The sequence below is a fragment of the Homo sapiens genome, chromosome 2, assembly GCF_000001405.40.
Source record: "Homo sapiens chromosome 2, GRCh38.p14 Primary Assembly".
Lineage (NCBI taxonomy): Eukaryota > Metazoa > Chordata > Mammalia > Primates > Hominidae > Homo > Homo sapiens.
Genome location: NC_000002.12, coordinates 99,370,732 through 99,397,553, shown reverse-complemented (window position 1 = coordinate 99,397,553; position 26,822 = coordinate 99,370,732). Strand labels below are relative to the sequence as shown.

General features: G+C 37.8%; 1 protein-coding gene across 1 annotated transcript in view; it reads right to left on the bottom strand.

Annotated features, from left to right (window-relative positions):
• Nucleotides 1-26,822, bottom strand: part of EIF5B (eukaryotic translation initiation factor 5B) — a 63,938-nt gene that overhangs the window by 3,773 nt on the left and 33,343 nt on the right. Inside the window, exons 9-22 of the mRNA NM_015904.4 lie at nucleotides 25,824-25,898; nucleotides 20,918-21,207; nucleotides 18,428-18,535; nucleotides 18,126-18,236; nucleotides 15,328-15,395; nucleotides 14,633-14,774; nucleotides 7,705-7,836; nucleotides 7,153-7,335; nucleotides 6,849-7,010; nucleotides 4,456-4,587; nucleotides 3,156-3,287; nucleotides 2,969-3,045; nucleotides 2,671-2,835; nucleotides 656-794 (exon numbers count right to left, since the gene is read on the bottom strand). Coding sequence (NP_056988.3) covers nucleotides 656-794; nucleotides 2,671-2,835; nucleotides 2,969-3,045; nucleotides 3,156-3,287; nucleotides 4,456-4,587; nucleotides 6,849-7,010; nucleotides 7,153-7,335; nucleotides 7,705-7,836; nucleotides 14,633-14,774; nucleotides 15,328-15,395; nucleotides 18,126-18,236; nucleotides 18,428-18,535; nucleotides 20,918-21,207; nucleotides 25,824-25,898 — 1,916 coding nt within the window. The remainder of the gene's footprint in view (nucleotides 1-655; nucleotides 795-2,670; nucleotides 2,836-2,968; nucleotides 3,046-3,155; nucleotides 3,288-4,455; nucleotides 4,588-6,848; nucleotides 7,011-7,152; nucleotides 7,336-7,704; nucleotides 7,837-14,632; nucleotides 14,775-15,327; nucleotides 15,396-18,125; nucleotides 18,237-18,427; nucleotides 18,536-20,917; nucleotides 21,208-25,823; nucleotides 25,899-26,822) is intronic.

Here is a 26,822-nt window from a genome sequence, read left to right as displayed (position 1 = left end):
AGAGAAACAGATAAATCCAAATGGAGGAGGGATTTGCAAAACAACAGGGACACTTCAAAAAGAATGGAGGACTGTTCTTGACTGAGGCTCAGCCACAAAACAAGCCCCAGTGCAATGCAGCTTGCAGGGCACTGGGCCAGATTGGTGGGGAGAGTTACCAAAACATCTTTGGAATAACTGGTGAAATAATGTTGAGGGCTGCAAATTATAGGATATTGTTGAAATATTATTAATTTTTCTTAGGTATGCTGACAGAAAGGGAAGGTAAACATGAGTGTTCATTATACTAGTTTTTAAACTTTTCCACAGGCTTGAAACCTTTCAAAATAAAATAAAAGGCAATAATGTAAAGTGCCTTGGAGCCCCAATTAACTGAAGCACTGAGATCAGCACTGAGTCAACACTGACTATGGAGCACTGATATTTACCAATACTGAAGCACAACAGAAGGTGACAGGCTCTGCTTGTTTTAAAGTTACCACATTTTCTTCCTACTGAGGTAAAAACACTGAAACATTTGTTAAGAAGGTGGAGACCACACTAAATACACAGCACAGTACTGTGAACTACAGGCACAAAGCTGTGTTGGTACGACTCTTGGACACTCATTTAGTGCTTTAAGAAATGACCCACAGAATGTACAACTAGAACTTACATTTTTGCTTGGGACACACATGGGTGTCCCCTGTTTCACCTGACCTGCTTCCACCGTCACCCCCATCACTATCGGATCTCGAGAATTAAAAATGTACTGAGGGAGGATTTTTATCTTGCAGGGAAATACTGCTATGTGCCTGAAAGGAAAAAAGAAAAGAATTTTAAGCTTACAGAATCACTTAAACATAAAAAGAAAAACTGCAGCTGAACATCAGGCTTCTCCCATTAGAGGAAAGCAGCTTTCCCCAGCGGCCACAGGAGAGGGGCAGGCAGGGTGCTGCAGCCCAGGGCCACCCCATGCCCAGAGCGCTTCTTCCTTGTTCTTAACCTCCTCCTCCCCATTCTGTTGCTTCCCAAGTCTTTGCTTTCTTCTCTTTTAAAGCCCTACCTCCAAAAGAAGCTGCATCACAGGAGCATTCTGTTCCTAGTCTAAAACACTGAGCTTGGCTGCTGAAGATGTCAGCCACAGTCTGGGGCTTAGAACCTAGGCAGTACCTGGTGACAGGCAGGTCTTCGTTAGGCACATATGTAGGCTACTGGGGGATCACATAGGCATCAGACCGTATTATCACCCTCCTTTTCTCCACCACGTTCCCAAACCATTGATCCAAAAGGCCACTACATAACTACCCTGCTTATTGAGCACACGCTTAAAATGCTTTAAAAGTTTCCAGCAGTCTTGTTAAGTAGAATTCTTCTCACTTCAGGTTTCATGATCTAAAGTGAGCATATACCAGTCTAAATCCTAATATTTACTAGTAAGCTCCACTTAAAAATGTATCCCAAACTACGCCATCACTCCTATCATCACTGTGGTCTGAATCACCTAGACCTCTTGCTTGGACTGTGGGAGCCTCCTGACAGGCTCTTGCCACTGACTTCCTAACAACCCAAGGTCCACATAACAACCCAATTAACCAGTCTGATTGTGAACACACAGCCTTGGCAATGGCTTCTTGCAAAACTCAGAGAAGCTCAATCCCTCCCATGGCCTGTAAGATCCTTGACGATACAGGTCCTGCCACCCTCTCTGACCTCATTTATCACTGTCCCTTCTGGTCACTCTGCCTCGCACTGCTGTTCTCTCTGGACACTCCCCATGTGCCTGTGTGGCTTACTCTGTCTGAAGAGGTGAGATGCCTTCCCAAACCACATCATTAATCACAGTCCCTCCTCTCCTTATCTAGGCCCTTCCCTGCTTTATTTGGTTTTTCAGCACTTCTCAACATGTGTCAATTGTCCTGCAATAAGAGCATGTCCCAGACCAGGCACAGTGGCTTACACCTATAATCCCAGCACTTTGGGAGGCAGAGGCAGGTGGATCACTTGAGCTCAGGAGTTCAAGACCAGCCTGGCCAACATGGCGAAACCCTATCTCTACCAAAAATACAAAAAATTAGCCAGGCATAGTGGTGTGAGCCTGTAGTCTCAACTACTCGGGAGGCCAAGGTGGGAGGATCACTTGAGCCCAGTAGGCAGAGGTTGGGGTGACCCATGATCATGCCACTGTACTGCAGCATGGGTGACAGAACGAGACCCTGTCTCAAAGGGAAAGGAGGAGGGAGGCTGGCCTGGTTCTCTGCTGATGCCTCCTCTACCACTGCAGCAATGTAGGTACTGTGAGTGCTTGAGTGAAAGTTTGGTAGAGGAATGGACTTCTCTCCCACAGAATCTCTTATTTCCCGGTTTTCCTCACTCAAGTTTTGTTACTTCCAATCTATATAATCCCAGATGAGCAACATAAAGTCCCTACATTTAATAACTACGAACCCATTAACAAGACCCAAGTCTGCCAAGATTATTAAACTGAAGTCACAGACAAGACTTGTTTGCATACTGCTGGAATGTCCCCAGTATGTTGGGTTTCTGGTTTGTAACACACCATTTCAGGATGCAGCCTCTGGTAGATGAGTAAATGCCATGATTTTGCTGTTTACAGCCCTTTCTGGAATTCAGTAATTCTCAATCATGTTCATTAACAAAGACTCAAAGTAAATAAAAACAGTAACTTACTTAAATTCTTCTTGTTTCTGTTTCTTGTAGTCTTGTCTATATTTTGTAAAGGCATCAAATAAATGATAAATAATTTCTGCACTAAAAATTCTAACTCCTAAACTATCAGCCATTTCTTGTGCATCTCGTTCAATTCTCACATCGAAGGCCAAAATTACTGCATACCTAAAAGGTTAAAACACATCAAAGACCATTCAGTGAAAAACAGAGTATGTCACAGAGGACAGTTTTTTAAGATAGGACAGTTTTAAGATAGCTACGTAACATGAAAGCCTTCATAGCAAGAGAAATTACTTACTGAGGGTCATGTTCCAACATCACTGAAGCCTTCATAACATCTTTTTTATGCACTGGGCCAATGTTAATTCCTGCATACTGAAAAAATGGGAGTTTCCATGTTTATCTGTATGTATCAGGTAATGGCGATGGCACCAAAAACCACGACCAACCACCATTCACTTGTGGAGCGAGTTGTAGTTACTTACGGGCACTTCTGATGTTTTCAGAAATTCCAGTAGAGCTTCCAAAGAACCCAGTGTAGATGCCTGGACATAGACTCCTTTTTCTTCTAATTTGATAGCATTTAGTGTCTGCTTTAACTCATGGATCAATTCATCCTTGAAAAGAAATCAGATTTGATAAGGTTGTCAACACACCTCTATCCTCAGCAGTCTAGAATTAAATTGTGTTTCTCTCTTTGGTTAAGTACTCATCTGCAAATATGAAACTAAGGCTTAGATAGAGCAAGGCATCACAGAACCTGTGCTGGAATGAAGGAGGAGATTTCGGGGCCATACCCTAACTGTATTTCGCTTCACCTTTGTCTTAGGTTTACTAACTTTGAAATATGTTTAATCTCCGCTCCACTTGGCAAATACAGTAGATGGGTGGGCAGAATTAAACAGTAGAGAAGAAAAATTTTTTTAAAGTTAAAAAAGTACCACATAAACGTAATGTGTTATGATAGCCCAAAAGTTCAGCTTGTCTGTGTTAACTAGGAAATACCATAATCTCATGATCTCAGCAGCTCCTTCCTCCATCACTGCTTGTCGGGAAATGGAAGAAGAGATTTTTAACCAGAAATAAGTAAAACAAGTTTATCAATGCCACTGAAGGGACGTAAGTCCACTCCATACTCAGGACTGGGTGAAGAGACAGGCCTGCCCTATTCTCTCACTGGCCCTAAGATAGCTTATTCCCAACAGCATGACTTGATGCTGCCTAAATAATAAACACGGCCCCAGGACACAAGAGCCATGTGCTGGGAACAGTTGTATTTTCTCTTTGGCAAATGAACAAACTATGGCTCAAAGTCCACTTTTATGAAACTACAATGGACATGGGCCAAAAAGAATATACAATTTCTAGCTTTTTTTTTTTTAGACAGGGTCCTGCTGTCACCCAGGTTGGAGTGCAGTGGCACGATCTTGGCTCACTGCAGCCTCTGCCTCCCAGGTTCAAGTGATTCTCCTGCCTCAGCCTCCCAAGTAGCTGGGACTACAGGTGTGCATTCACCATGCCCAGCCGACTTCTAGCTTTTGACTCATTTTTTTATTTGAATAAAATGCATTATTTTTATAATTCTAGTACATATAAAAATTATACCAATTTCTATGATTGTACAAACTGAAGTAATTCAAAAGCATCAAGTTTGCTAAGAGGCCAAGAAATGGCAGGCTTCACAAAGACAAAGCCAGTTTTGGTCACCATCCCTAGCATGTGCAATGCTGACACATGCCAGAACTCAAATAGCTTTTAAGGAAAAAAATTTTTAAATGAACTTACTTTAAGAACAGGGATTTCATCTTCTTTATAAGCCACAAGGAGGGGTAAACCAGCCAATGTTTTCTCCAGGTCTTTTCCAAGAATCTTTACCCCCTGAGCTGCTTCTACTTCTTTATGCTTTTCATACTGGTTCTACAGAGATAAAAACATTTGTTACCAAATGTACTTTAAAAGTGGTTAGCAGTAGAAGATGATATAAGAGAATCTCATCATGATATTAGAGAGAGGTTTCTTAAACGAGGCACAAAAAGCAATAATCACAAGACTGATAAATTTAACATTAAAATTAAATATTTCCATTTCTCAAAATACCACAGGAAAAAAAAAGTCACAAGAGTAGAAGATATTGCAAAACACACCAACTAACAAACCGGTATCCTGAATATATAAGCGCATATAAATCTGTAAGAAAGATAATGCAGAAGAAAAATGTACATCTCACGAAGGAGGAAATAAATGGCCAATAAACATTTTTAAATGACCAACCAGGTTAACAATTAGGCAAATGCACACTGAAACGGCAATGAGCTACACACTTAGCAGAATGGCAAAAAAAATTTAAAACCTAACATCCAAGAACTGATGAAGCTGTAAAACAATGAAACTAAAATACTGCAGTTGAGAATATAATTTGTTACACCCACTGTAGACAAGTGTGGCCTTCACTCCTAGGTATACATACCCTGGGAAACTGGCACAAACACATCAAGAGATGTTCACAGCAGCAGCATTATTAGTAACAACAAAAATCAAAAACTGGGCCGGGTGCGGTGGCTCACTTAGGGAGGCTGAGGTCAGGAGTTCGAGACTAGCCTGGCCAACACGGCAAAACCCCACCTCTACTAAAAATACAAAAATTAGCCGGGTGTGGTGGCGTGCACCTGTAATCCCAGCCTGGATGACAGACTGAGACTCCATCTCAAAATAAAATAAAATAAAATAAACATAAAAAACTGGAGATCACCTACATTTCCCATCAACAGAACAGATAGATATGTTGTGATATAGTCACACAATGGAATAGAAATCTTAAAATTATATACTTTTTTTTTTTCACTAAAGGAAGCCAGATATAGGCCAGGCATGGTGGCTCATGCCTATAATCCCAGCACTTTGGGGAGATCAAGGTGGGTGGATTGCTTGAGCCCAGGAGGTCAAGACCAGCCTGGGCAACATGACAAAGTCCCATCTGTAAACAAATTAGCCAGGTGTGGTGGTGCGTACCTATAGTCCCAACTATTCAGGAGGCTGAGGTGGGAGGATCACCTGAACCCCGGGGAGGTTGAGGCTGCAGTGAACTGTGACTGCACCACTGCACTCCAGCCTGGGTGACAGTGAGAGCCTATCACCAAAAAAAAAAAAAAAAAAAGAGCCAGCTATAAAAGTACACACTGAGAATAACTCCATTTCTACATAAAGTCTACAGACACTTCTAAGGGAAGTACTCTTAGACACAAAAACAAAGCAAAGCAAGGATATTTGTTACTGTCATAAAATGCAACCATGGTTAACTCTATGAAAGGTCAGGGGGTAGGAGGGGAAGGCAGGGGAGTTGATCAGGAAGAAGCACACAGGAAGCTTCTGGGTGCCAGCAGCGTTCTGATTCTCCATCTGGTTGCTTCCCAAAAATGTGTTAAACTTTTCTTCTATGTTGTGTGTACTTTTCAGGAGCAATGTTTTATTTCACAATTAAAAATGTTAAAAAACTACAGCTGACCCTTGAACAAAATGGGCTTGAACTGCATATGTCCACTTATACTCAGATTTTCTTCTGCCTCTGCCACCAAACACAGCAAGGCCTACCCCTCTCCTTCTTCCCTCTCAGCTTACTCAACATGAAGATGAGAATGAGGACCATTATGATGATCCACTTCCACTTAACAAATAGTAAATCTATTTTCCTTATGATTTTCTTAATCACGTTTTCTTTTCTCTAGCTTGTTTTACTGTAAGAATGCAGTATGTAATATATAAAACATACAAAACATGTTAGTCGACTGTGTATGTGATTGGTAAGGCTTCTGGTCAATGGTAGGCTATTAGGAGTTAAGTTTTTGGGGAGTCAAAAAATATATGTGGATTTTCAACTGGCCAGGGAGTCAGTGCCCCTAGCCCTCATGTTGTTCAAGAGTCAACCGTATTTAGCAGTGTAGAACCATAACAGTGTAGTTTAGAATCTGGCAAAGGCCCAGTCTGGTAAGCAGGTACTTTCACACATCTCTACTCTGACAGACAGGCCTTCCTGTATGATGACAACTAAAATAAAAGGGAGAGCGAGGGATGTATGTGTTCTGTATTAAGTCAAACAGCTTTCAAAGTGAGGAAACCATCTCAGCAGAACTTCTAAACACTGTACAAGTCCCCACGTGTCAATGCTTCCCACCTCAGCATACCTTCACTCGTAATTCCTTCATAGGAGGAGGTAACAGGAGGCCTCGAATCTGAGTTACAATGGGCCCTTCTACTCCAGGAACAATGATTGTATCTCCTTCCTTCAAACGCCCATTGATCAAGATGACATCTATAGTGGTGCCCATCCCCGGGAGAGCTTTAACCTAAAAGGCATTAATGCAAAGAGAAAGACATACATACAATGCACCATGTTCATTAAATCTAAAAGTAGTAAATATCCTCCACTCAAGGAACTTGCTATTTTTAAAAAAAAAAAAAACAATAAACTGAAAAGTTGATCATTACCTCCATCACCTGTGCTCTCAGCTCTTCACAGTGTGCAAGTCTCTTGCTCAACATGGTCTGAGTTAACTCTACAAGAAGGTAGATCAGACTTCCCATGCCATCACCAGTATGTGCAGAGGTAGGTACCAAAGACACAAAAGTGCGGGGATCTTTATTCTCATAAAACAAAGCAGCATTCAAACCCTAGGAGCAAAAATCATCCAAAATGCCAGGCTGTAAAGAAAACGTATCTGGAATAGGTGTGCCTCACTAGAAGCCGGATGAGCAAATGGCTCATCATTTTGAAACTCCTCATAAACACTAAAAATGATCATGTATATCCTATAAGCATTAACTGTATTATAGCAAAGTAGTTCTAAGTCAACTCAGTTTTCTAAATTAAAGTATTCAGACTGCAAAGAAAAAGGAGAAAAGGGAAGAAGAATTTAAAAAAAGTAATTGCTGTCAACAGAGGAAAAGAACCAGTATTAATGAAAATGCTGACTTCATTATAAAGATAATATAATACATATTCTGAGATAGGCTCTTCAGAAAGAAGGAAGGCCTTCTTACCTGCTGTGCAAATTCTACAATAATAGCCTTTGCTCGCTCCTCAAATTCATCTTTTGTATTCTTTTTCTGCTTCTTTAAAGTAGCAGCCACATCAGAGTCAGGACTCTTTTTCCAATCATATAACCTATCAATCTGAAAAAGTTTTTTCATGAGAAAGATCTCTAAAAAATTCAGAACATTCAAGAACTGTATTAATAGCTCCAGAAAATTCCTCATGTGTGTCTCATATATACAGAACAGTGTGACTTACTCATACACTTTATTGTACCAAAAGCTCCTTTCAGACTGCTTATCGGCACCTGCTCTTAAATTAGAAACTGCTGTGGTGCCATGCTGCCCCTGTCAGCCTCCATGAGTTCCTAAGTGGCTGCCATTTGTTTGCAAAAGATAACATCCTAGAATTATCCTAAGACTATTAATGTATATTGTTGGAATTCCGAAACAGTTTTTGTAACAAATCAATCAATCCCAGCAAGTACCATCACTATAAAATTATATACCAAAAAATTAAAAAATATATATTTTCTAAGGGAACAGCCTATTTTAATTATTTTATTGCTCAAATTAGGATTAAATCTGTTTTGTTAATGACAGAATCTATTTTCCCTCACTTTTCAACATGAGAGATAAATGAGCATAGAAGAAATGAAAAATACTTGCTAGCCAAACAAACAATCAAAAGCATAATCTGTCTGGGGACAGAGTCTAGGGTGACAAAATAAAGAATCAGACGAATCTGAATGCTACTAAGGAGACAAATCAGTAGGAAATGACGAAGATGTTAAAATTAGCATATGAGGTCCTTAGAATATTTATAAACATGCTCAACACCTTTAAAGGAAAAGCCTGAAGCTTGTAAAGCTAAATAATAAAAACATGTCTAACTAGTAATTAGAAATTAACACTTTTAAATGCTTATATTAGAAAAGAATATCAATAAAACCAAAAGCTAATTCTTTGAAATAATCCAATTCCTGCACATTCTTTCAGAAAACAGAGGAGGAAACACTTCTCAACTCGTCTTAGGAGGCCAACATTACTCTGATATGAAAACCAGATAAAAGACATTACAAGAAAACTACATACTCATATCACTCATGAACATAGACACAAAACAACAATGAAACATTACAAATCAAATCTAGCAATATATCAAAAGGATAACAAATGACAACCAACTAGGGTTTATTTTAATAATGTAAAGTTGGTTTAACATTCTAAAAATTCAACAGTAATTATGTTGTTAACAGAATGAAGGAGAAAATCCACATGAACATCTCTACATACGCAGGAAAAGAATTTGACACAATCAACAACCATTCATGATTAAAGAAATAAAAACATAAAGCACTTTAAACCACCTAGAATAGAAGGAAACTTCCTCAAACTTAATAAAGGGCATTGACAAAAAAACCAAAAAAACAAAAACCCTGCAGCTGACATCATACTTAAGGGTGAAAGACTGAGCACTTTCCCTTAATATCAGGAATAAGGAAAGGATGATGTCTACTGTCATTCCTTCTATTCAACATTATTTAGAAGGTCTAGTTAGTACAATAAAGAAGAAAAAGATGTAGAAAGCATATAGGTAAGGGGAAAAAAACATAACTGCATTTATAAGCAGATAACATAACAACATACTTAGAAAAACTCACATTATTTACAAAAGAAGATACTAGGCCTAATCAGTGAATTTAACAAGGTCACAAGATACAAACTGAGTGTAAATGTGATAAACAGCTGGAAATTTAAGAAGTTTTCATGCTATTTACAATAGCATTAAACCATGAAATACTTAGGGATAAATTCAGAAAAATATGTCCAACATGTGGACAATAAAACTACAAAATATTGCCAAGAGAAAGTAAAGAAGGCCTGGCCAGGCATGGTGGCTCAGGTCTTAAATCTTAGCACTTTGGGAGGCTGACGTGGGCAGATTGCTTCAGCCCAGGTGTTCGAGACCAGCCTGGGTAACACAGACCTCGTCTCTATTTAAAAAAATAAATAAAATGAAAAATAATTTTTAAAAATGGTAAAGAGGACTAAGTAAATGTACAGAGATACCATGCTCACTGATCAAAAGATGCAATATTGCTAAAAGAGCCAATTCTCTCAAAATTTATCTACAGATTGAAACGCAATCCCAATCAAAATCCTAAAAGGCTTTTTGTGGAAACGAACAAGCTGACTGAAAACTTTATATTGAAATCCAAGGACCTAAAATAGCCAAAACAATATAAAGAAAACTAAGTTGAAGGATTTACCACTACCAGCTTTCAAAACTTTACTATGAAGCTATAATGAGACAGGGTAGTAGTGGCATAGGAATGTATATAGAGCAATGGAACAAAAGATAAATTCTAGGAACAGACATATATGGTCAATTAATTATTGACAAAGATTCCAAACTAATTCCATGGGGAAAAAAATAATTTTTTCAGCAAAGAGTCTTTAAATAACAAAATATTTCTATGGAAAAAAAGTAAACCCTGACCTCACACTATATAAAAAAAAGATCACTGATCTCAATGTAAAAAAAGCTCCAACTATTAAACATCTGGAAACACCAGAGAAAAATTTAATGAACTTGGGATAGGAAAAGATTACTTACATAGAACACAAATCGTAAAAAAATTAATTGGGGCCAGGCACGGTGGCTCATGCCTGAAATCCCAGGGCTTTGGGAGGCCAAGGCTGGCGGATCACTTGATGTCAGGAGCTCAAGACCAGCCTGACCAACATGGTGAAACCCCGTCTCTACTAAAAATACAAATCAGCCAGGTGTGGTGGCATGTACCTGTAATTCCAGCTACTTGGGAGGCTGAGGAACAAGAATCACTTAAACCCAGGAGGTAGAGCTGCAGTGAGCTGAGATAATGCCACTGTACTCCAGCCTGGGTGACAGAGCAAGGCCCTGTCCCAAAAATAAATAAAATATAAAAATTAGTTGGATTTCACCAAAATCAGAAATTTCTTCTCTTCAAAACACACTATTAAGAAAAGGAGGCTGGGCGTGGTGGCTCACGCCTGTAATCCCAGCACTTTGGGTGGCCAAAGCGGTGGATCACTTGAGGCCAGGAGTTTGAGACCAGCCTGGCCATCTTTACTAAAACACACACACACACCGCCCCCCCGCCCCCCAGAAAAAAACAACCCTAACCGGGTGTGGTGGTGCATGCCTGTAATCCCAGCTACCTGTGGCTTAGGCACAAGAATCGCTTGAGCCTGGGAGGCGGACGTTGTAGTTAACCAAGAGTGCGCCACACTGCACTCCAGCCTGGGCAACAGCAAGAGATGGTCTCCAAAAAAAAAAACACACACACACACAGCAAGAGACAGTCTCCAACACACACACACACACACACACACACACACACACACGCAAAACAAAACAAAGAAAATGAAAAACCAAGTCCCAGACCATAAGAATACATCAGCAGTACATACAAGTGAAAAAGGAATTATATACATAGAACCAGAAGTATAAAGAACTCTTAAAACTCAACAATAAAACAATCTAATAAAGAACAAAGGATTTTGAACATATTTTTCAAAGAAACAGATATGGTCATCTCTCTAAGCATAAGTACATGAAAAGATGCATAAAGCCATTAGTCACTGTGGAAACAAACTAGACCACAATAATTTTGCACTCAACTACACACCTACTAGAATGCTGGAGGTAGGGCGAGTATTCGCAAAGATATGCAGGAACTAGAATTCTCAACAGATAAATGGATAAAGTGCAGTATTATTCAGATAATGGACTACTATTCAAAAATAAAAAGGAAAAACCCTTTATACATGTAATGACAACATGAACAAAGCATAATAACATGAGTAACAAAAAATGCCAAACTTAAAAAATTACATACTATATGATTCCATTTATATGAAATCATAAAACAGGCAAAACTAGTCCATATGACACAGAAAGATCAATACTAGCTTGAGTTTAGGGAGGGCAGCAGAATGACTGCAAAGTAACATGAGAGAACTTTTCTGGAAATATGGAGATGGTCTATGTTCTGAATGACAGTGGTTGTAAATTTGTCAAAACAAATTAAACACTTAGCATGGGGTGCATTTTCTTATACATGCGTAACTCAGAGATACTGCAGGTTTGGTTTCAGACAACTGCAGTAAAGCTAATACTACAATAAAGCAAGCCACACAATTTTTGGGGTTTCCTAGTAGTGCTTCTAAAAGAGATGCTTATACTATATTGTAGTCTATTAAGTGTGTGACAGCATTATATCTTCTTAAAAAAAGCAATGTATACACCTTAATTTTAAAATATTGCTAAAAATGCTAACGAGCACCTGATTCTTCAACAAGTCATAATCTTTTTGCTGGTAGAGGGTCTTGCCTCGATGTTGATGGCTACTGACTGATTAGGATGGTAGCTCATAAAGGCTGGGGTGGCTGTAGCAATTTCTTAAAAGAGACAGCAAAGAAGTCTGTCCCATCAATTAACTGATTCTTCCTTTTATGAAAGATTCATTGGCTGGGCGCAGTGGCTCACGCCTGTAATCCCAGCACTTTGGCAGGCCGAGGCAGGCAGATCACCTGAGCTCGGAAGTTCAAGACAGCCTGACCAACATGGAGAAACCCCATCTCTACCAAAAATAAAAAATTAGCTGGGAGTGGTGGCGCATGCCTGTAATCCCAGCTACTCGGGAGGCTGAGGCAGGAGAATCGCTTGAACCCGGAAGGCAGAGGTTGCGGTGAGCTGAGATTGCAGCACTGCACTCCAGCCTGGGCAACAAGAGCGAAACTCTGTCTCAAAAAAAAAAAGAAATTTATCTGTAGCATGTAATGCTGCTTAGAGCATTCTACCCAGAATAGAGCTTCTTTCAAAATTGGAGTCAATCCTCTCAAACCCTGCCACTGCTTTATCAATTAAGTTGATTGCTATCCTAAATTCTTTTTTGTCATTTCAACAATGTTCACAATACCCTCACCAGAAGGAGACTCCACCTCAAGAAACCACTTTCTTTGCCCACCCATAAGAAGCAGCTTCTCATCTGTTCAAGTTTTACTTAAGATTGCAGCAATTCAGCTACATCTTCTGGTTCCACTTCAAATTCCAGTTCTCTTGCTATTTTTCTACCACATCCGCAGTGACTTCCTCTACTGAAATCTTGAATTCCTCAAAGTCATACATGAGAGTTGAAATCAGCTTCTTCCAAACTCCTATCAATGTTTATATTTTGTCCTCTTATGGATCATGAACGTTCTTCATAACATCCAGAAGGGTGAATCCTTTCCAAAAGGTTTTCAACTTTTGCCCAAATCCATCAGAGGAATCTCGATCTATGGCAGCTATAGCCGTATAAAATGTATTTCTTAAGTAACAATACTTGAAAGTTGAAAACACTCCTTGATCCATGAGCTGCAGAATGGATGCTGTATTAGCAGGCACGAAAACAACATTAATCTCCTTGTGTGTCTCCATCAGAGCTTGGGTAATCAGGTACACTGTTAGCAAGCAGTAATATATTGAAAGCAATCTTTTTCTCTGAGCAGTTGGTCTCAACAATGGGCTTAAAATATTCAGCAAACCATGCTATGAATAGACGTGCTATCATCCAGGTTTTATATTTCCATTTATAAAGCACACAATGGATTTGGCATAATTCTTTTTTTTTTTGAGACGGAGTCTCGCTCTGTCACCCAGGCTGGAGTGCAGTGGCGCGATCTCGGCTCACTGCAAGCTCCGCCTCCCGGGTTCACGCCATTCTCCTGCCTCAGCCTCCCGAGTAGCTGGGACTACAGGTGCCCGCCACTACGCCCGGCTAACTTTTTGTATTTTTAGTAGAGACGGGGTTTCACCTTGGTCTCGATCTCCTGACCTCGTGATCCGCCCGCCTCGGCCTCCCAAAGGATTTGGCATAATTCTTAAGGGCCCTAGGATTTTCAGAATGGTCAATGAGCACTGGCTTCAACTTAAAGTCACCAACCACATTAGACCCTAACTAGAGAGTCAGCCTGACCTTTGAAGCTTTGAAGCCAGGCAGTGATTTCTCTCTAGCTATGAAAGTCCAAGATGGCATCTTTTGCCAATAGAAGGCTTTTTTGTCTACACTGAAAATCTGTTGTTTAGTGTAGCCATCTTCATCAATCATCTCAGCTAGAGTTTCTGGATAACTTGTTGCAGCTTCTGTATCAGTACTTGCTGCTTCAACTTGTAACTTTAGGTTACAGAAACAGCTTCTTTCCTTAAACCTCATGAACCAACCTCTACTGGTTTCAAACTTTTCTTCGACAGCTTCCTCACCTTCCTCAACTTTCACAGAATTGAAGAGAGGGCCTTGCTTTAGATTAGGCTTTGGCTTAAGGGAGTGTTGTGGCTGGACTGATATTCTATGTGTGACTCCTCCTTTCACTTGAACACTTACAGGTCATTGTAATCTTATTAATTGGCCTAACTTCAATACTGTCTCAGGAAACAGGCCCAAGGAGAGAGAAAGAGACAAGGGAACAGCTGGTTGCTGGAGCAGTCAGAGCACTCACAACATGTATTGACTAAGTGTGCCATCTTATAGGGGTGTGGTTTGTGGCACCCCAAATCAATTAAAATAACAAAGATCATTTATCCCAGATAACCTAACAAATGTAATAATGAAAAAGTTTGAAATATTGCAAATTAACAAAATGTGACAAGAAGTGAACACAAGCTGTTGGAAAAATGGCACCAACAGACTTAATACTCTTGCTTGATGCAAGGCTGCTACAAACTTACAATTTGTATTTAAAAAAAAAAAACTATACACAAATACACACACACACACAATATCTGTGAAGCACAATATAGTGAAGCACAATAAAATGAGCTATGCTTGTAAGTTAATTATACTACTTTTTTTAATCACAAAAAATTAAGAAACATGTTTTCCTAGGTTAATTTTTCAGAAGGCGCACATACCTTATTGAGTGCAACAATGAAGGGACATTTTTTAGATTTGAGAAGGTTGATAGACTCAATTGTCTGGGGCTCCAAACCATGCATAATATCAACAACTAAAATGGCAATGTCACAAAGAGAGCTTCCTCTATTTCTCAGATTACTGTTGAAAAGAAGGAAAAGATCTATAAGTAGAAAATCTTGAAATTAATACTTTTCTTAAACTTTTAAACTTCTCTGTAAAACCCAAACAAAATAGAGTATATGTATTAAATTGTTCAAGTACTATTAGCCCTTAACTTGCCAAAGGCTCATCTACCAATCACTTGAATTGACCTCAAGTGGAATGAGCTAGTTTTAGAACCAACTAATATTTCTAATAATTTTACTGACCAAGTTTTCTGTGTTAAAGAATATGGACAAGAGACAACAGCATAATATTCCACTTGTAACGGGTTTTACAGGAGATAGGCCTGGCATGTATTAGCATGTTTTCTGCATTCCACATTAAGGGGGTGCTCTTTTAAAGCAGTAAAGACTTCCCTCTATAAAAAACAAGTATTCAAAGAAAACATTACTAAATCAATGAGGTACAAAGGTGGAGTGGTAGTTATAGAGATCAAATTACTACTCAAAGGTTAATGACTCTGCTGAACTTTTAGACTTAATGGTTTCAAGTAGATTGCTTGATGAGAAAAGACTCAAATTGCTCTTACCTGAAAGATTCATGCCCAGGAGTATCAATAATTAGCATTCCTGGAATCCGTACATTCTCTCTATCAAACTAGAAACAATGGGGAAAAGTTCAAAGTTTAAGAAAGTCAGACATGAAAGCTTCTTTACAGAACAATCCTTTTGCCATAAAACTCTGAAAGTATCACTACTCCCTTTTCCATATAAATGGCTTTAGAAACAGTGAGTTAACCAGCAAAGTACAGTTGTCAGTATTTTCATTAAAATCCAAAGGCATTTTAACAAAAAAATACTAAATGAGAAAATATCTCCTTTCTTAAGGTCTTACAACTATGACTGTAGTCCAAGTTTGAGCAGATTATTAAGTAAGTGGTGATACGAATCGCAGGGCAGTCATCTGAAATATTCTATAGAAATCTGACATGCAAGAGGTGGTTCTCAGCATTGGGAAAATTTATGTGGTCCAATTTTAAAGCAATTCTGACTTCAAATATATCCCAAAAGTACATTTTAAAGTAAATTTACCACATTGATCAAAAGTGTTAAAGAGTAAATGCATACCCTGTTGTATTCAAATAACGTCATAAATGCTTGACTTTCTGGACAAAAGGACATAAATGAATGGAAGTAACATTACAACAGATCTAATCTGGACATTCCCTTTTAGTCTAAAAAGTAACACTGACCAACTAATTTCACACACACACACACACACACACACACACACACACCCCCTTTTTGTATTATGCTTATCTACATTTTCTTTTTGCTAATCTTCAAATGATCTTCCAAAATTTGGTATCCTGATCTACATCAAAATAATGCAACGTAAAACATTTCAGATCCGCATTCTGGTTCACTGAGCACCATAATTATTTCCACTTTAGTGTCTTATATACTAACAGTAAGTAATTACAATTGTCATATAAAGGTTATCCCAAGAACTTTAATACAGGCCTAATAATAATCTTGTTCCTTACGTTCTAAAATAACAACGAGAGTTCAAGTTCTGGCAACTGGTGGAATAAGGTGTTATGAACCCTCTCCTCTAGTGACTAAAACATAGAAATACTGTTTAAAATAGGATGAAAATAAATTATAAATTTGAAAAGCTATAATTCAAGAAAACTGTTCTAAAATAAAAATTCACTACTACATATTATAATAGAACACCACATAACTGGAAAACTCAGAAGCGACATCAAGATGTAAAACGATCATAGGCCTTATAAAAAGACGAAATTCAGCTGATGATCAAACTTAACAGCAATACTTTATGCGAGAATAAATGGGACACAAGATACTTAAGGAATGAAAATGTCAACCAAGGATTTTATATGTGGCCAATGACTTTCCAGTATAAAGGCCACAAAATAACTCTTCAATATTCAAAAATTCAAGGAATGTTAATTCTTCTAATTCCTTCCTTAGAAATTGACTAGAAGACACGCTTCATAAAACCCAGTCACAAAGAAACAAAACAAAAACTGGAGAGACAAACTCATAGACTCTTTTTACATGCAGAACTAAGACTCAATAAGGAATAAAAGGGGACATTAGCATATAATAACATATGCTCTGTTTGTTTTTCAACTTACTGCTTCTCAGTTCCAAAGCTACCACTTTCACCTGCTCTGTGATAATGAAACTGAGGAATTATTAACAAGGCCCAGTTCTCAGTCTGGGTAGTTTCTATATTACATGAGCCGGGAACATCCTGCTATATCAGACAGCATGAATGCAACCAAAACTAGGACAACCAGAATTGTATGAGAAAGATTCAAGAGCCAACCACTGGGCAAAGATGGGACTATCTCAGCACAATAATAACTGAAATGGACTAATGCACAGTAAATATGTTTAAATCCATGAGTTCATAATAATACAAAACAGAATCAGGCTGGGCACAGTGGCTCACATCTGTAATCCCAGCACTTTGGGAGGCTGAGGTGGGAGGATCACTTGAGCACAGGAGTTCAAGACCAGCCTGGGCAACATAGGGAGACCCTGTCTCTATGAAGGGCAAACAAAAGAAAAAAAAAATCATATTGGCCACTTTTTATTTTAAAAGCTGGTTAAAAGAAGGTAAAGGATCAGGCATTAATTCTGCCTTTCCTAAATAAGCCATCACTGAATAATCAAATAGTAGATTAGGTAACGTTTCTCTATAGAAGTAATCCAATAATGGCTGATGGAGTTCGAGTATCAACATTTTGCAACTCCTAACACATTAAAAGGTAGAGATTATCTTAAAAAGTTGTGGCTGGAGAAGAGATCTTTGATTGGAAAGCTACACCTGGAGGGCTTCTGAAGCAGCTTGCAAGGTTATATTGCTCAACAAAGGTGACACTTAAAGGGTGGTGTGTATTATACTGATTCTTTAAGCTTTACATTTATCTTACTGTGTTACATTTAACATACATAAACTGAATACCTCCAAACAAGTAGAAAAATATGGGAGAAAAAGAAAAGAAATTGATTAGATTAGAAGGGGAAAAGAGTAGAGAAGGAAACAAAATTTTAAATTATGGGGATAAATGGTATCAGTGTTAAAGCATGGAGGCAAATGACTAACTGTGGAATAGTGGCTGCCTCTGGGAGAGGGAGGGAAGGAAATGGAATGTGAGAGCTCCTATAATATGTAGTGTTTTATTCTTTAAAAAGAATGATCTAAAGCAAAATAGGCAAAATAGTACATGTTAATTCTGAATGGTGAGTATATGGAGCTGTTATCCTAGTCTCTGTCCTTTTTCTATGTTTGAAATAGTTCATATCTTAATTTTTGTCAGAGATTAAAATACATGAAATACAATGTACTTACATTTTTAATCATCTTAGTCTGTTCATTAATAGCTTCAAGAGGAACATTGGTGGCCCCAATTTGTTGTGTGATACCACCTGCTTCACCATCTTGTACATGTGTGTGACGGAGCTATGAGAAGACAGCAAATACAGATTGGTATTTGAACATGGAAAAGATAGCAGCAAAAATAATAAGAAATTAGCAACTTATTTATTGTAAGCAGAATTGCTTATATGTCCTATTGGTCTCTAAAGTTTTTTTTTATAAGGTACCATTCACTTATTTTCAAAGTTCTATCAATACATTTAATACTTTCTTACCTTATCTAGAATTTTTGTCTTCCCTGTGTCCACATGCCCAAGTACGCAGATAATAGGGGCTCTTAGCTTTTCGGTGTTTACATTTTTACTATGTTCAAGTCGCCGTTTCTAGAAATAAAAAAAAAAAAAAATCAAAAATTAAATATTATTTCAAATCCTCACTATCCTTATTTTCTGTTTTGCCTTGGCAAAAGAATGCTACAACCTGCATCCAAGTTCTTTGTTGATTTGACTACACATAATTGGAATTTATAATGTGAACTTTACAATCGAATTCCCATCACAGCACCTCTGGATAAGGAAAAACCTGTTTAGATTTCACAGCAGCACTGCTGAATACGAATAGGAATATTGTAAAGTGTCATTTCAAAATTTTTGAATACTTTTGTACACAGTTACTTTAATGGAATATAATGACTAGAAAAGGAATCAATCTTCCCATCATACTGACTATATAGTGCAACCCTGAATTTGTGTGAGGATTTATATAAAAACAGGTGAACTTGTACATTTTAAAAAATTCACTGGAACCTAAGAATTTTAAAGATTTTTAAAGGCAATTTATTTCACACTTTTATCCAATATACAAATGCTATAAAACCTTTCAAGGAGGAGACTGTTTATTTAAGGTTCAGCTTAAATAAGTAAAACATGTCCTGACTTTCCAAGGCTCTACCACTTTATGAACACCAGTAAGAGCGAGAAAGCTTTTCCTTGAACCACAACGTGCTTCTCCGTTGCATTTACCTAAATGCTTCAGCTTTCTGAGGACCAAAAACACATGCCAGCAATAGGTTTTCTTTGAAATGACCTCTCAAATACAGTAAAGTTGGCATTCAAATTAGATAAACTTGAAGCAAAAACTATGAAGTAATGTCATTTACAAAACTATTTTTCATCTAAAAACCATTTCTGTAAGAACCCTTTACTTGCATTTCTAGTACTAGACATTAGATTTTTTGGTAGAAACTGAAACTGAAAAACTTTTTAAAATACCAAAAGTGAGATGCCAGGGATGAGCACAAAGTAGGACTTAATCACTAGCAAAGAGTAGTACCCGACAACCTCACAGTACATACAACTCAAATTCAAACATCATGACTTTATTTGATATGGCTGAAAACTGCCTCTCTCTCCCACACTTAGTGAAGTGTTAAAAATTTTTGGAGGGCAATAAGTTACAAACTGACTCAGAAATTCTAAGTATACTGAAGCAATGACAGGACAAGAATACAAACCCCATTCCACAATGGAGATTCTGACCCAGGAATGGAGTGAATTTCAGAAAATCATAATATGTAGCAAGGTTTATGGATCCATGAAGTTTGTTATGGACTGAACATTTCCCCAAAATTCCTACCTTGAAGCCCTAACCCCTCATATGACTATATTGGGGGCTAGGGCCTTTATTTTTAAAAACATGAAGCTCATACACACTACCATTAACTAATCTAGGGAGCAGGATAATTGAGAAACTCTTCTGCTTTATACTTATTTTGTTTGTTAATCAGCAAGCACAGTACAGATATTCCATCACTCTCTCGAACATGGGTATATGGCAAGGGAGCTGGTGGGAGTAGGTGCTACGGGAAAAGACAGTCATAACTGAGGTGCCAGGTGGGGAAGAATGCTACAGGCATCTAGTAGGCAAAGGCCAAGATGTTGTTTGGTATCATACAAGGAAGAGAACAGTCCCTGTCCCCAACAACAAAGAATTATCTGGCCCCCAAATTTTAATAGTGCCAAGGCTGAGAAACCCTAATTTAGAATAACAAATCCTCTTAGTCCTTTAGAAATTTAGACAATTTATCCATACCTAGACTTTACAGGAGAAAAAGCAAATGTTGATATATAGGTAGTAAAACAAAAAATTAAAAAATTAATAATACACAAAAAGGAAAGCTAAAATAGTTTTTAGCTTTAAAATAGTTTAATATCCTCAAGCAAACTAGATTTTAATGTATTATTTACATTAAGCTGACAGAACTAAAGAAAACTTTCTCTTGAAGCATACTGAAATCTACTGCATTAAGTAGGAAAAATACAGAAAGTCTATCAGGTATCGGACTTTACTAAATAGAAGCCTCATCAACCCACCAGATTTATATAACTATAGTGATCAGATGCCTCATGGTGACTAACCTAAATATGTGAGGCAAACACATAACTGATGTTTATAAGCAGAGGGCATATGCTCAGAATACCTCTGCATACTTATAAACTATCACTCAAAGAGTACATTAAAATTTGGAGAAAACAAGAAAAAAATGAAGTAGTCACACCATTCTATCTTAGGTAAGAGCGGGGACGGGGGGTCCTTGGGTAAGACCAGTATCAAAGGCCAGTAATATTTCAACATTACAAAAACTGAACGGTGTTCTATTCTTGAGAATACATAAAGTGCTGTTCAAAGCCTTTAGTTGTAGAGTACTGTTTTAATCATCACAGAGGAGTGGGAAGAAAAGTAGAGAGAAACGGTAAAATAAATACCTCAATCCTCCGTTTTGCTTTGTCATAAGCCCTTTCTTCTTTAGTCCGATCATCATCAGAGTCATATTCAGAATCTGAGCTCATTTCTTTACTTGGCTTTTTATCTAATGTCTTCCCTGAATCCTTCTCATCTGACACCTTTTCATCTTCCTCATCACCTTCACTGCCTTCACTTTCTCCCTCCTCTTCCTCCTCTTCTTCACTTTCTTCATCTTCTTCTTCCTCTTCTTCCTCCTCCTCCTCCTCTTCAGGGTTTTCTTTTACTTCTATATGAACTTTGTTTCCTTCTACTACGAAAGCAAATATATTTTTAAATAAATAAACATTAATATGATAGATTTATATCAAGATAAGAGACTTTAAAGCAGGGGTGTCCAATCTTTTGGCTTCCCTGAGCCACATTACAAGAAGAATTGTCTTGGGCCACACATAAAATACACTAACACACTAACACTAACAATAGCTGATCAGCTTAAAAATAAAAATCACAAAAAAAAGTCTCACGTTTTAAGAAAGTTTACAAATTTGTGCTAGGCCACATTGAAAGCCATCCTGGGCTGCATGTGGCCCACAGGCTGCAGACTGGACAAGCCTGCTTTAAAGTAAGGGGAGGAGATAATGCCTGGACCAGAACTGTTTCAGATTTTTTAAAATTTGGAATATTTGCATTCTATACTTACTTCATATTTTTTTTAATTTGGAATATTTGCATCTGAAATCGGAAAAACCTGAAATACGAAATGCTCCAATGAGCATATCCTTTGAGCGTCACGTAGTGGTGCTCAAACTTGATTTTGGAGCATTTCAGATTTCAGATTTTTGAATTTCAGAGGCTCAACTTGTATTTAAGGCAGTAACATGGTGTTTTCATACATCATAAACGCAAGGTGTTTGTCTATATGCTAAAACGAAATCTGTCACTTAACAGTAAAACCTTAAGGCAGTAATCCAGACTGAAGTCAGTATTAGTAAGACAGAATCCATGGGAGAACAAAACTCAAGGAGGTGGAACAGTCTTTAGTACCACTTTCCCCTTATGGTCATTTGTTGATTCGGGAAGAGGCAGATGAAAGGCTAAGCTGCATTGGGAGTCCAGACCTACCAAAATACTAAGAATTCAGTGGGGTGCAGTGAGCAGACATTGGGTTACACCCTTACTGTGGGGTACAATCATGAAGAGCTGTACCCTAGGAATAAGGATGAATAAGAAATAAACAGGATCTCCCCATTATTGGCAGATCACCTTCAGATCCTCTGGATTCTAAATCTAGAATAAGATTATTCCATATTGCTAGTTCACTCAGGTACCTTGTGGAAGTAACACATAAATTAGCTCTGGAGAAAAGAAAACATCATCCTTGACCTCAAATTACTTCTCCAAGCAAAATATCCAGCTATAAAAATAGCAAGGCACATGAGAAAACAATTTACGTGAGAAGAACCAACATATAAAACACCAAAAGGACTTTAATAAAGTCATAAAATCAAAATTTTAAAATGGCTGTGCTTCTAACATTCAGTCAGAAGCAAAAGACAAAGTTAAAATTTTAGAAGGTGAATTAAAACTATAAAAAAAGTTAAATGGAAATACTAAAACTGAAAAATATAACAAATGAAATTGAGAACTCAAAAGATGGATCTAACCTCAGAATAGAAAGAGCCAAGGAGAAAATCAGTGACCTAGAAGACAGTCAAGAGAAGCAATCCAGAATGAACCACAGAGACTCACTAGGTGGAAAATACAGAAAAGAAAATAGGAAACAATGATACAATAAGAGGGCCTATCAGAGACATCATTGGAATTCTGAGGGAGAAAATGACTCCTAACATAAAACTGATAAAAACATAAAACCATATATTAATAAAGCTCTACAAGTAGAATATATTTTTAAAAAGCCTATTCTGGGTACGTCATGATAAAACTGCTGAAAAGCAAGACCATATGAAAAATTTAGGCTGATACCTGACTTCTCAACAGGAACAATGAAAGCCAGGGCAAGGGAATAATAACTTCAAAGTGTTAAACTTCAACCAATAATTCCTCACTCAGTAAACATATAAAACTAAAGAATGAAGATGCAATAAAGATGTTTTTAGAAAGCAAAACAGAATGTCTTACTAACTGATCCATACTAAAAAAAACTCTAAAGTGTTCTTCAGATAGGAAGAAATGATCTCAAATGGAAGGTACAAGATGCAGGAAACGAAGCGCAACAAAATGTTAAGAATGTGGGTAAACTTATAAATAGTAAGTATTGACTATATAAAATATAAGCTAATTTGAGGTTTTAAATAGATAATGAAAAGAAATGAGAAAAATTATATCTTTTTTTTTTTTTTTTTTTTTTAGGTAAGAGTCTCGCTCTGTCGCCCAGGCTGGAATGCAGTGGCGCAATCTCAGCTCACTGCAACCTCTGCTTCCCAGGGTGAAGCGATTCTCATGCCTCAGTCACCTGAGTAGCTAGGATTACAGGCGCACGCCACCACGCCCAGCTAAATTTTCTAGTTTTAGTAGAGGTGGGGTTTTGCCACATTGGCCAGGCTAATCTCAATCTCCTGATCTCAAGTGATCCGCCCACCTCGGCCTCCCAGAGTGCTGGGATTGCAGGTGTGAGCCGCCATGCCTGGCCGAGAGCAATGATATCTAAATAGAGTATTGGGTAAATGTCATTCAAGTACTCTAAAGTCCCTGCATTGTTAGAGGATAACATCAGACATTGTTAGTTCAAAGGTACTTGCTAAAAATTTTCTTAATCACTAAAAAGTTGTTTGAAAGGTATACAACTGCTAAGCTCATGAAAGGAAAAAAAAATAAAAATTTAAAAACCTAGTAACCAAAAGATGATTAGAAAGGAGAGAAAAAGAACCAGGCAGAACAAAAAACGACTTAGTAAGATGAAATGTTTAAAATCAATATACTTCATTAATTACACCAAATGTTACATTTAATGAACAGGCTAAGTACTCTAGGTAAAATATAAAGATTGACAAACTGGATTGAAAAAATCTCAACTAGATCCTAGCTGTGATTTGTAAATGGTGTCCCCTCTAAAATTCATGTTTAAAACATAATCCCCATTTTGCTGGTAGGAGGTAGGAGGGTGGTGGGGAAGGTTTTGGGGAGTGATTAAGTCACTCTCATAAATGGATTCACGCCCGCAGAAAAGTGCCTTCAAAGAGAGTTTGCTCCTCTTGCCCTTCCCTCCCTTCCATCATGTGAAGACACAGCCATCCTTCCCTCTGGAGGATGCAGCACCAAGGTGCCATCTTGGAAGCAGACAGCAGCCTTTACCAGGCACCAATGCTGGTGCCTTGATCTTGGACTTCCCAGCCTCCAGAACTGTGAGAAACACATTTCTGTTCTTTAGTACTACTGAGTCTGTGGTATTTTGTTACAGCAGAACAAATGGACTAAGATAATGCTATTTACGGATACAAAAAGAGTCATAAAGATAGAAAAAGATCATGTAAATCAAAGCTCGTGTACCTATATGAGTTTTAGGTAGACTTTTATATCAAAAGGCATTGTTAGAAATATATATATCAATGATAAAAGAGTCAATTCATTAGAAAGATACAAGATTGTGTTTACCTAATGACACAGCATAAAAATACATAAAGCAAAAATTAACAGAACTCAGGAGAAATAGACAATCTACAATCATGATGGGAGATTTTAAGGCATTGGTCCCAGTAACAGAGAGAAAAAACAGATCAGAAAAAAAACAAAAGCAAAAACAAAAAAACCCTCAGAACGCTATGAAAGACTTGAACAAAATGATTAGCAAACTTGACCTAAATATAGAAAGCAAGGCATCCAACTACTGCAGAATATAAATTCTTTCCAAACATGAAACACTTACAATAACTGACCATGCTAGGTTGTATAGCAATAATCAACATATTTCAAAGGATAGAATCATGTATCTTCTCTGATCACAATGAAGTAACAAAAGACAATTAGAAAATGCCCATTTTTGTAAATTAAGAAATACACTAGGCGGGCTGTGGTGGCTCACACCTATAATCCCAGGACTTTGGGAGGCCAAGGCGGGCGGATCACCTGAGGTCGGGAGTTCGAGACCAGCCTGACCAACATGGAGAAACCCCATCTCTACTAAAAATACAAAATTAGCTGGGCGTGGTGGCGCATGCCTGTAATCCCAGCTACTCTGGAGGCTGAGGCAAGAGAATGGCTTGAACCCGGGAGGTGGAGGTTGTTGTGAGCCGAGATTGCGCCACTGCACTCCAGCCTGGGCAACAAGTGTGAAACTCCATCTCAAAAAAAAGAAATACACTAAATAAATCTTGTAAAACTTAATACATCAAAATGAAAATGAGAAAATATCAACATATCAGACTTACAGAATTTGACTAAAGCCATGCTTAAAGAAAAAGGTATAGCTTTAAAAACAAAGATGGGGGGAGGCTGAAAAAAATCAAAGAGCCAGATATCATTATCAGTAAGTTAGTAAAATTAACAGGAAATTAAATCTCGAAGTAGAGATTTCAGTAATAAAGAAGGGGAAACAATGACAAAAACGTTTACTTTCTATTCATACTTATCAGGAACTATAGTATTTATCTCATTACCTTTTAAGTTAACAGTGCTTTTTGTAGGTCAGCTTTAGTAACAACCCTATTTTGTAACATCATCACTCTGAAAAAATGCATTCTAAACCTTAGGCAGCTATCTTACAAATAACATTCTGAGGAACCACTCATTCACAAAATGAAGATCCACTTGAGGACTTAGAAACCATGGCAAAGGAGAGAACAAGAGACTTATCCCTATCCCCAGAAATGTTCATATGGCTTTCATAATCAAAAGACTATTCATTTAAATATATATCATTCATTTCTAATAACCACTGGATGTATCAGTGTGTGCTTATGAGGTATTCACCTTTTTCTGTCTCCTCATCACTGGCCATAGCTTCCCAATCATCCAATCCAGCATCCTCAGTATCTTCTTCTTCTTCTGTAAGTAAAAATTTGCATTTAAGACACAAAAATTATTTAGAAATATGAAGGTCTTTTAGAAAAAAGTAAAAAATTATGCTCTGACATAAAAAAAGAATGTTTTAATTATGTAAAAAATATGTATGCAGCTATTATCTTTAGAACTATCTTTTTTTTTTTTTTTTTGAGACGGAGTCTTTGCTCTGTCGCCCAGGCTGGAGTGCGGTGGCGTGATCTCGGCTCACTGCAAGCTCCGCCTTCCGGGTTCACGCCATTCTCCTGCCTCAGCCTCCCAAGTAGCTGGGACTACAGATGCCCGCCACCGTGGCCAGCTAATTTTTTGTATTTTTAGTAGAGACGGGGTTTCACCGTGTTAGCCAGGATTGTCTCGATCTGCTGACCTTGTGATCCGCCCGCCTCGGCCTCCCAAAGTGCTGGGATTACAGGCTTGAGCCACCGCGCCCAGCCAGAACTATCTTTTTAATATAGCTAGCATGTTATAATTTACTATTACTTAAATGCTTCCATTTCCTACTACTGCCAACATATTAAACTTAACCAATTTTACATTCAAGCTAATTGTTTCATTAATTTAATTAATTTAAATGTTTCTTTAGATCTTGAAAAAGCTACATGAATATACTCAGTTCTTGAAAACAAATGAAATTTCATATATATCTTCTTTTTGATCATCCAACTCATACTTTATGCAAGGAATTTATTATTTTGCTTTTAACCTTTACAGGTATTTAAATATACTTAAATTCTGAAGTTGAAGGTACAAAACTACCACCATCACTCTGGGTCAATGCTGTGCTCATAACCCCAAAACAGCCAGAAAGCTAAAATTCTGAATATTATTTAGACATTAAAGACCTAATACTCTTCTTAACAAGAATGCTTTTCTTTACTGAAATCTAACCAGGCACAACTATTCTTAAAT